This window comes from Homo sapiens, chromosome 9, assembly GCF_000001405.40.
Source record: "Homo sapiens chromosome 9, GRCh38.p14 Primary Assembly".
NCBI lineage: Eukaryota > Metazoa > Chordata > Mammalia > Primates > Hominidae > Homo > Homo sapiens.
In genome coordinates this window covers 78,969,356-78,980,596 of record NC_000009.12, presented here as the reverse complement: position 1 = coordinate 78,980,596, position 11,241 = coordinate 78,969,356, and the positions used below count along the sequence as shown (strand labels likewise).

Genomic DNA, 11,241 nt, shown 5'->3' with positions numbered 1-11,241 from the left:
AATGAAAGGGAGGCAAGGAGGCAGCCACGGTGTCATAGGTCAGGGGTTCTCAAAGGGTAGTTCCTGTGACAGCAGCAATATGGCCTGGGAAGTTTATAGACATACAAATTCTTGGGTTCACCCCAGATTTACTGGAGCAGAAATTATGAGGGTGGGACCCATCTGGGTTTGATTTTTTTTGGTTTTTTTTTTTTTTGAGACGGAGTCTCACTCTGTTGCCCAGGCTGGAGTGCAGTGACGCAATCTCGGCTCATTGCAAGCTCTGCCTCCCGGGTTCACATCATTCTCCTACCTCAGCCTCCCAAGTAGCTGGGACTACAGGCACCCGCCACCACGCCCAGCTAATTTTTTGTATTTTTAGTAGAGACGGAGTTTCACCATGTTAGCCAGGATGGTCTCGATCTCCTGACCTCGTGATCCACCTGCCTCGGCCTTCCAAAGTGCTGGGATTACAGGCATAACCATCTGTGTTTTACATAGCCTTCCAGATGATATTGATACACCTTAAAGTTTCATAAGCAGTGCCATAGACACCCCAAGAAGCCTCAGATTACTATCTGCAAAAGGGGGATAATAATAGTAATGATAACTGCACAGGACTATTGTCATGCTTACAATGATAAAATTCTAGAAAGTACCTAACAAAGGTAATACAGGTGCTAAATACATTTTCATTCTGACCATAATAATTGCACATCTGCTGAATGTAAGGCACAACATTAGGTGCTGCAAAGGACAACGTTAATCAGACTTTTCCTTCAAAGAATCTTTGGTCTGGGCTGAGGTTGAGTGAGTAAGCAATTTGCTGCACTATGTTGGAAATTAGGAAATAAATGTCCTGTTAGGGTGCTCCAGAGAGACAAAATCAATAGGATATAGATAGATAGACAGACAGATGAGAGAGGGTTTATTAGGAGAATCAGCTCATGCAATTATGAAGGCTGAGAAGTCTCATGACAGGCACTCTGCAAGCTGGAGACCCTGGATGATAGCAGCATGGCTCGGTTCAAGTCCAAAAGCCTCAGAACCAGGCAACCTGATGGTGTAATTCGTAGTCTAAGATCTAAGGCCTGAGGACTGAGGTGACCACCACTAGTATTAGATCCTGGAGTCCCAAAGCCAAAGAGCCTGGAGTTATGATGTACAAGAACAGGAGAAGGAGAAGGTCCCAGCTCAAAGAGAGAGAGGAAGAAAAAAATGCTTTTCCCTCCTTTTTTGTTCTATCCAGGCCCCGAACTAATCGGATAGTGCCTATCAAACTGAGGGTGGATCTTTTTCATTAAGTTCATTGACTCACATGCCTGTCTGCTCTGGAAACACTCTCACAGACCCACCCAGAAGTAATGCTTTGCCAGTTCTCTAAGTATTCCTCAATCCAATCAAGTGGACATCTAAAATTAATCATCACATGCCCTGATGAAGGGGAAGATAAAGATCTGGCATGGGAGAAAACAAGCCTGCATCTGGTGGAGGCATTATTTGTTGGGTAGAGGAAGGCTTTGAAGGGTGGGTGGGATTTGAACCCATGAAGATGGAAATTAGGGCCTCCTAGACTTCTGAAGTGGATTGTACAAAGTTATGGAGGTTGAAGAATACTGAACACATATGGAGAATAATTTAGTCAATTAAAATGTGAGAAGCATACTTTGGAGAAGTAGAGAATGAAGTTGCAAAGTTAGATTAATAACAGGTTATGCAAGGTACGAGGCTCAGGATTTTCGCCTTTGTTATTGAGTAACAGGAATCCATTAACATTTTTTTTGGATAAGAAAGTGACATATATCAGAGAGTTTCTCGTGGTTTTAAAGTTGGGCATAGTGGCTCACACTTATAATCCCAGCACTTTGGGAGGCCAAGATGAGAGGACTGCTTGAGGCCAGGAGTTTGAGACCAGCCTGGGCAGCACAGTGAGACCCCGTGTCTGAAAAATTGCTGAGCATGGTGGTACGTTGTGCCTATAGTCCCAGCTTCTCGGGACTATAGAGAAACAGGAGCCTTGGGGGGTTTTTTGCACCTGGTAGACCCAGTAACTTTTGCAGTCCATATTTTTTGGGAGGTGGTTACCCAGAAATGACATCTTAGCAGTCTATTTCTTTGGCTATCTGGAGGGGTCACTTTGCTAAAGCAGTTACAGCATATTGGTAATATTTGATCCAAATAACCATAGATATTCTTGTCATATTGTCAATTAATAAACCTTTAGCACAAGCTCTACCTTGTAATTTTTAAGGTTGGTGTTTTCCCCCAGAGACCATAGTGAGATTTTAGTCATGGTGTCTCATGAATTCTGCTGCTGAATAGCTAGTTCTGGAAGCACAAAGAGGGCTGAGATGAAAAGTTAACCTCAATATAGGGGGAGAAGTTCCCCTCTCTGAACTATTTTTCCTTTAAAGTCCCTGTTTGTCAGGGAAACAGGCAGGAAATACTCAGTACTAAACTCACTTCTCTCAATAGTTTTCAGTGAGAGAAAGCAAAGCCTAAGGAATTATGAAATGAAAGGGGTTCAGTCATGAGGCATTTTAAGGTGTTCACTGAGGTGCGATTTACCACCAAAATGTAAGGAGTCAAGCTGGGACAAATAAGAGGCAAGGGGCCGGATGCGGGCTCACGCCTGTAATCCCAGCACTTTGGGAGGCCAAGGTGGGCGGATCACGAGGTCAGGAGATCGAGACCATCCTGGCCAACACGGTGAAACCCCGTCTGTACTAAAAAAAATACAATAAATGAGCCGGGCCTGGTGGCAGGCGCCTGTAGTCCCAGCTATTTGGGAGGCTGAGGCAGCAGAATGGCGTGAACCCGGGAGGCGGAGCTTGCAGTGAGCCGAAATCATGCCTCTGCACTCCAGCCTGGGCTACAGAGCTAGACTCCGTCTCAAATAAATAAATAAATAAATAAATAAATAAATAAATAAATAAATAAATAAATAAATAAAATTAAGAGGCAGTGGCAGGAAAGGCCTTAGTTCTAGGCAAGCAGCTTCTTCATTCTGCCTCTGCCACTGACTGGGTGAAAATAACTGTATTTGAGGCAGAGAAAATATTTTGCTCTTGACATTTTGAAACAATTTGCTGGTAGTTTCTTTTAATACCCCCACTCCCATTTTTTTCATGTCATCCGGCCTTATTTATTGGGCTTTTGTGGTCATGAATGAGCCAAATGATATGTTTATTACCTCTATTTTATCTGTAGTTTTTTCCACACTTTCTGCTTCTGTTAATAGCTTTTGAATCTTAAGACATTCGTCTATATTACTCAGAATCAAATTTGGAACTTTTACTAACGTTGAATGTATTGTCTCCAATTAAATCTACAATGGGTATATAGCACGAATGAGAAACAAAATTTTGTTCTTTTAAGCCACTGATATATACGGGTTTACTTGTTTATGTATTAAAAGCCTTTTCTAATTGATAGAGTATATTATTTCAACAGTTTAATGAAGACGGTTGCGCTCTAAGGAGAGTCCAAAGAAAACTAAAAAGTAGAGAGTATAAGAGATGTTTAAAGAACTTTAGTTTAGAACGATTCTTACTTTGCATCAGTTTCTCTAGAATTATCATCTAATCAGTTGTTTTCATATTTAATTTTGCATCGGGATTACCTAGAAATATTGTTAAAAATTCAGATTTCCGACTGCAATTGCAGGTTTTGTGATTCAGGAGGTTTGAAATGGACCGCAGAAATGTCTACTTCAGCACATCTCCATACCTAGGATCCTAATGACAGTGACCCATGGGCCATGCTTAAGAAACACAACTTTAGTTTTTCGGTAATTATAAATTATTTAAGTTCATTTTATAAAGGTTACCCTGCGGGAGATCTGGATGCATCGCGGCTGATGGGACACAACTTTCGGTTCCCATAATGATATAGTTTTCACTCTTTTAAGACAAAGACATTTATAACACACTTATGTGATTTCTGCCATCCAATATTGGTGGTCTCTGATGTTTATATGTGACCCAGACTGGCTGCAGTGATAACAGAAGTGAGATCCAGCAAATGCAATAATGCTCTCTATAGCCACTTAGCATGACTATTAAAGGAGAAGTAAAGAAGAACCCCTTAGCCAATTGAAGTGACAGCAGAGTGAGCTTCAGATTATCAGAGTATAATTGCATAAACTGAAATTGAGTCAGTAAGTGAAGGTCAACAGTGAAGGAAGAAACAAAACACAGGCAGAAAGGAAGTGTTTGCATGAAATATGTAACTGATTCTTTTTGTATTTTCACTAAAAACATTCCTTTATCTTCCTCCCAAACAGACTATAACTCACCGGGAGGAACGTTATCAGGCGCCAAAAGCCTTTTAAAACAGAGAACTCTGCTCGTGGAGTCACATATTCTGTTTTATCTGTACAAGGTAAGACACCCAAATCACACTTCAGAAGACGTGTGTTTTAGAGAATAGTTTTCTGATTTTGTAAAACCTTTCGTTTTACTGGCGTGAAACAGTCTAACTCTTCAGAACTCCTTTAGAGACAATGACACCACATGTGTTCCTTTATGTCCCTGGCACAGATGTGTTCTGTGTGGACTTTCCCTTTCTTTGTGAGGGGGAGTTTCTGCCTTGACTTAGAGGTGCTGGCAACTCTGATTATCATCTTCTGTGCGTCTGAGAGTGGTCTAACAAAGCAGAAGTGGAACCTTGAAAGAATAGGGATAGAGTTGGACCAAAATTTTATACCTGAAAACATCACCTTCTAATTAGAGTGAGCAGTTCTTTTGATGGCACACCAAATTAAGATGATTCTGAAAGTCTTTAACTATCACTAGAGAACCTTCTCTTGTGGCTTAAAGACTAGCCAAGGTATGCTAGTGTGCTTTATCTAAGTGAAGATTTTTTGCCTTGGGAAGTATTTGCCTATTGGTTTATTTCTGTATCTCTACATTTAAATTATGAACTCTTTGAGGACTGTAGTTTCATGCTCACTTTTGTGTTCTATTCTATGTCGTGTTAAGACTGTTTTGACTGAAACACATTGAAACTCATTTGAGATAATAAAAACAATTATTTTAATAACTCTAATTGAACCTGTAATCCCAGCTACTCCTTGGGGGACTTGAGCCAGCAAGTTCAAGGCTGCAGTGAGCTATGATTGCACCACTACACTCCAGCCTAGGTGACACAGCAGGAATCTGTCTCTTAAACACATACACACATACACACCCCAGTAAGAAAGAAAGGAGGAAAAAAAGAAAATTAAGAAAGGAAAGAAAAAACTCTAATTGATGAGGAAAATAAAATAATGGCTCACACAAGGATATACATTAAGGCTGTATTTAAGGGAAGGAAGTGAGGTGTAGCTGGGCCTCAAGAAGGATTATAATTGAATGCCAAGAATTGAAATCACTCTTTCCATATTTCTGTAACCCCGTTTCCTTTCGTACTTTTCCACTCTCTAAGAATCAGCTTCATTTTCCCTTTCTTCACAGCATCCTGTTGATTGTTCATGTTGCAAACACCCAGCTTGCCCCAATTCAACAAGACCTTCCAGATTCAATATTAAATACTGATCAGTGACTTCAAATTGCTGACAGAGTCAGTCTGATTTGTTCCATGCCTCTCTGTTTGTGGAGAGTCCTATCATTAGTTTGTATGTGGTTGCTCCCTTCAGGTCAATTGTAATGGCATAGTACATTGCTCACTGGCAAATTGGCAAAGGTTGTGTGACTGATCAGATTTTCTCATAAAGAAGCATAGATAACGTGGGACCCTCAAAAATGTCTAGCACTTATCTTCAATACCTATGGGCAAACAAAAGTATGTGTTGCATAAATGAACAAATAAAGGAGACAGACATTGTAGGTACCATGCCCAACAACAATTTTCCCTTCTTTCTCCCTAAAATAATCTGGATTTGGTTCAGATATTAGGTGGAGTTAGGCTCAGGGAAAAAGGACCCCAGTCCAATGGGTGCTGGAGATAATTCATTCTGGCTTGCATGAGCCTACTGTGCATCTCTCTTCCCAACTCTGCTTCAGCAAAGTCATGCTGGTAGCTTGAAATCAGCCAGGATGGAAGTGTTTGCACTACAGAAATCAGCCAATACTATGATCGAAGAGTGTCCTTTTTCCCCCTTTAGAGAACAGATTATTGCACATTTACCACATACCACTGGCCCACTCCTAAATTCATGATTAGTCTATGCTAATAATGGAAATCCCAAGTCTCCTTTGTCAGGAATTGGATAAGGAGTGAACCAGTGGCTCGGTTCTACCACTGTTACCTGGGGCTTTCTGGAATTTTCTTCCCAAATAAAAATGGAGACACCCAGATTTCTTATCTTGGAATATTGTCTTTTAAGAGTGTGATACTTGTAGTCAGTTTGCAGTCAGGAGAGGCAAGCTTAAAAATAAAAACTAACAGGCTTGAAATAAATGAAAGAAAATATCAAAGAAACCTGATACCTTGATGACACCATTGAATTACTGCACCAAACAAGGAACTTCCCTGCCCCAGGGTATCTTGTTATGAGTCAACAAATGGCCCTCCCTTAAGGCACTTTCAGGAGAATAATATGTAACTTGCAGCCAAAAGATTCTGATACAACTGATGGATGAATGGATGGATGAAAGGACAAATGGATGAATGAATGAATAAATAAATGAGGTCATTTATTTAGGTGTGTACTGGGCAAAAAATCCCTGAGACAACTACAAGTATGCACAGGTATGCAACACATGTCCCTCTGGATTTCTCTCTTATATTTTTAGTATTGTCAATATTATAAGCTTTCCTCATTGTTTTAAATCATGGATGAACAGAGACCTTCCTACTAAAGAAAAAGCATGCACACTGCTCTTTTATAAGGCTATATACATTTAGGAACATTATCAACGAAGAACATGTTGTTTTCTGTCACTCAATACCCACTAGAAAATATTCTAACTTTTTTAGTTAGTTTTTTTTTTTTTGAGACAGAGTCTCACTCTGTCACACTGGCGTGATCACGGCTCACTGCAACCTCCGCCTTCCGGGTTCAAGCCATTCTCCTGCCTCAGCCTCCTGAGTAGCTGGGACTACAGGCACACACCACCATGCCAAGCTAATTTTTGTATTTTTAGTAGAGACGGGGTTTCACCATGTTGGTCAGGCTGATCTCGAACTCCTGACCTCGTGATCTGCCCACCTTGGCCTCCCAACGTGTTGAGATTACAGGCGTGGCCACTGCACCCAGCCTATTCTAACTTTTAAGTAAAAAGATATAAAATGTATGAGATCATTAATTTTCTATATTAGCAATTTAAATTCTATGGGACAATTTATGTGTGTGCATGTATGTGCATGCATGTTTGTTAAGGATGACAATGTTATTTCATTTTATATCCATTACACAATTTCATGTTATTATAATGCTCAAGATAGAAATGAACGTTAAATGCATTGAGGATGCTTCATAGTATAATTTTTATTTTGACTTTTTTCTTCCTATATTTTGAGTCTAGGAGATTGGCTCAGGCAGCGCATCTTTGCGACTGGTAAGAGAGTTCACCTGCAAGGAATCATTGTTTTCATCCTATATTCATGTCAATAAATCCAACTTCTCTACAGAAACTCTACTGAGTTGTGACTCCAGAGAAGAGGAAAGGTATTCCAATATATGCTTGACCATGAATGCTATCTAAGAGGTGTCTAATGAAAGAAAATACATCAAAGCTGGCCACTTTATTCTTCTAGAAAACAAAACCAAAAAAAGTCAGGTAGCTGAGGTGAAAGCCTCTTTTACCAAGAGCTAGAAGGGTAAGTCCCCTATTACCCTTCTGAGGACTAGCTATATGCATAACAATAGCAAAAATGTTGTTCTGGATGTTGCTTCTTTCAGTTTCTATTAACGTTGTAATAGTGCCTGCTTCCATTATACATTTCCTTGTGTATTTCAATCAAAATGTCACTTAGCTGCTGTTCCTAGAGTGCACTTAATATTTTCATTAAAACCAATAGAACCAAGAAATGACAAGGGTGCAGGTGGGTGCAAGCAATTAAACTCCTCCTCTATGTATTGTGAAATAGCAGTTGGGGAAAGAAAGAAGCCCCATTGAACACCTGTCCCTTCTCCTGTGAATGGCAGCAAGCAGAAATCCACTTAGCTAGCTATTGTCTGCTTATTTTCCTGACAGATCATGTGAAGAAGCAGGCAGTTATGGGGCCAGTAATTCAGAATTAATTTTCCCTTCACTAAAGTGCTGTGGACACTGAGTGCAGTAATGGTGCCTGATCAGGATTCAGGGGGGTAAACAAGACAATTTGAGATGATGGGCAGGAGATAAAAGCCCTTGTAAGGGGCTGCTCCTCTTTCCAGTCTGATCTGTGGTTTTTGCTGGCACCTTTTATTATTATTATTTTTTAAAATCTGCCTCAATGAAAGTCTGAAGAGTTAATCATTAAACCATTTGTCTGGTGTGTGTGTGTGTGTGTGTATGTGTATGTGTTGAAAGATAAGACAAAAGAAAGAAAATTCTAAGTGTTGCTCTCCATCTTTTCCCACCTTATTAAAAATGTTAGTGGCTGCAAAAGACAGCTGTTAAGCCACACATTGAGATTGTTTACGGAGCTTCCTCCTGTGAGCTTCTACCTCAATTGAAAAAATTACCACATTTCCTCTAATGAACTGAGACCTTTTGCCAACCCACTATTATTGCTTATTCCACTCTGATAGGAAACACCCACCACTAACATGCACAACAAAAATTTGTTCTCACCAGATGGAATTAAAATTCTCTCCTGCTCTTATTCTTTCTCCCTCTCTCCTGTTCCCTCCCTCCTTCTTTTCTCCATTCTCCCTCTCCCTCACTTTCTCTCCTCGTTTTTCTAACTCCCTGTTTCTAAATACTAGCCACCCAAGTCATTTCACAGACCAGCCGAAAGAAGCCTCCCTGGGGATGAGCTAACGAGGAGGATTAGATACAACTGTTCTCTGGCCAGGTGTCAAGACCCTGTTGGCAGAGGAACGGCAGAGACATCTTGTGAATTATCTCCCAGTCACTGATGCAAACCACTCAGAATAAATCAGGATTGAAGATTGATTTCTACAAAATTGCTTTATTACTCAGGTAAAATTTATTGATCTGTTATAGAAAGAAAAAAAACATAATCGAAAGAGGATAGTCCATGCCTAAATAGCAAACATAAAACCTCCCATAAATCCTTTCATTTCAGATATTTGATATTTAGTGCAGAATATGTTCTTGGGGAAGTTCATCTTTGTGTAAATTATGTTGTCTGGGAGGAAACTTACAGAACTCAGGCATCTTAAAACCCATGAGTGAGTTATTAAAATATACACTGATAAGTATGGTGACCCTAATTTCCAAGCCCTAAATCAGGACACATAGTCACGAAATGGTTTTTCCCCCTCTCTTCTTTAAAAAATTATTCTGGTAATAGTTTTGCCCATGAAAACATTAAATCAGAATAAAATCACTTAAAGTTATGTCTACCCAGAATATCTGAGTTGTAGACTTTCTATTCATAGTTGCCACTCTACTCATCTCACAAACTTCTCAACACTATTTTTTCATACTCACTCATTTAATAAGCATCTCGTTCATTCATTCATTCATTCATCCCCTCAGCCTTCAATACATGACTACCCTATACATGGGCCTATGTTGCTACACTACCACTTTTATACCCTACAAATCCCCAAATATTTTTAAAACTTAATTCTGTATATGAATACAGCAGAGGAAAGTTGATGAGTTCTGCACCTGTGCATATCATAAATTCTTCTTCTTGGAACCACCCAGTGGGTTTTTCTTGCCCACTACCCAGATAGGGCCCATTTATCAGGGCAGGGGAATTGCAATAGAGAAAGACTTTTACATATGTAGAGCCAGCTAAATGCAAGACTGGAGTTTTATTATTACTCAAATCAGTCTCTCTGAAAATTCAAACATTTGAGAGCTAGGGTTTTTCAAAGATAGTTTGGGGGAAGAGGAGGGCATAGTTAGGCAATGTGTGCTTGCTCCTGATTGGCTGGGGGTGCAATCATAGGGGAGTGGGAAATGATCCTCATGCATGCTGAGTCACTTCTGGGGGGGGGCCACGGGAGCAGTGTGGAGGTGGAACCATCGGTCATCAGACATGCAAAAAACCTGAAAAGATATATTGAATGGCCAATCTTAGGTTCTACAATAGTGATGCTATCTGCAGGAGTAACTGAGGAAGTTGCATACCTTGCAACCTCTGGAATAATGGCTAGTAATAGTTTATGTCTACACCTTAGCCAAATTCACACCTTAGCAAATTCAGGGTGAATTTGGCTGAGGTGTAGATATAAACTATTCTCATTCTCCTAGTCTGGTGGCCTTTCATTAGCTTTACAAAGGCAGTTGAGTTTTGGGTAAGGGCTATTATCACTATGATATTATTTAATATCATTTAAACTATAAACTAAATGTCTCCCAAAGTTAGCTTCGTCCAAGTCCAGGAATAATTAAGAGCAACTTAAAGGCTAAAGACAAGATGTGGGTTGGCCAGATCAGATCGCCCCCACTGTCATAATTTTCTGTTATAATTTTGGCAAAAGTGGTTTCATTCTTTGTGGTGTTCCTTGCACAGCCATCCATGGGGATGAACAATAGGTAGTGGATAGATGCAGCTCTTCTTAACTGAATTACTCTAGAATTCCTATTCTACAGTTGGAACTTTATTTTCTAGTCCCCAAATTAGTCATTGTTTCCCTTCTCCCATATGAAAATAGACCTATGTGGATTGGTGTTCAAAATATATAGATTATGTCAGTATTTAGGAATATTATATTAGGCTATCTATAGGGTTTTTTAATTTTTAATTCTTAATTTCAATATGTTTTTGGGGAACACATGGTGTTTGGTTACACGTTTAAGTTCTTTAGTGGTGATTTCTGAGATTTTAGTGCACCCATCACCTGAGCAGTGTACACTGTACACAGTGAATAGTATTTTATCCCCCACCCTGCTCTCACCCTTTTCCCCAAGTTCCTAAAGTCCATTGTATCATTCTTATGCCTTTGTGTTCTCATAGCTTAGCTCCTGCTTATGAGTAAGAACATATGATATTTGGTTTTCTATTCCTGAATTACTTCACTTACAATAATGGTCACCAATTGCATCCAAGTTGCTGTGAATGCCATTATTTTGTTCCTTTTTATCACCGAGTAGTATTCCATGGTGTGTGTGTGTGTATGTATATATATATATATATATATATATATATATATATATATATATATATATCACATTTGCTTTATCCACTCAT

At 39.6% G+C, this 11,241-nt stretch overlaps 1 annotated feature.

The window, feature by feature from the left end:
• Nucleotides 9,850-10,144: an enhancer, noted in NCBI's record as "tiled region #1407; K562 Activating non-DNase unmatched - State 24:Quies, and HepG2 Activating non-DNase unmatched - State 24:Quies". NCBI's record gives its function as "activates a minimal TATA promoter and a strong SV40 promoter by Sharpr-MPRA in K562 cells, with weaker activation in HepG2 cells {active_cell/tissue: HepG2 | K562}" and the evidence as "EXISTENCE:reporter gene assay evidence [ECO:0000049][PMID:27701403]".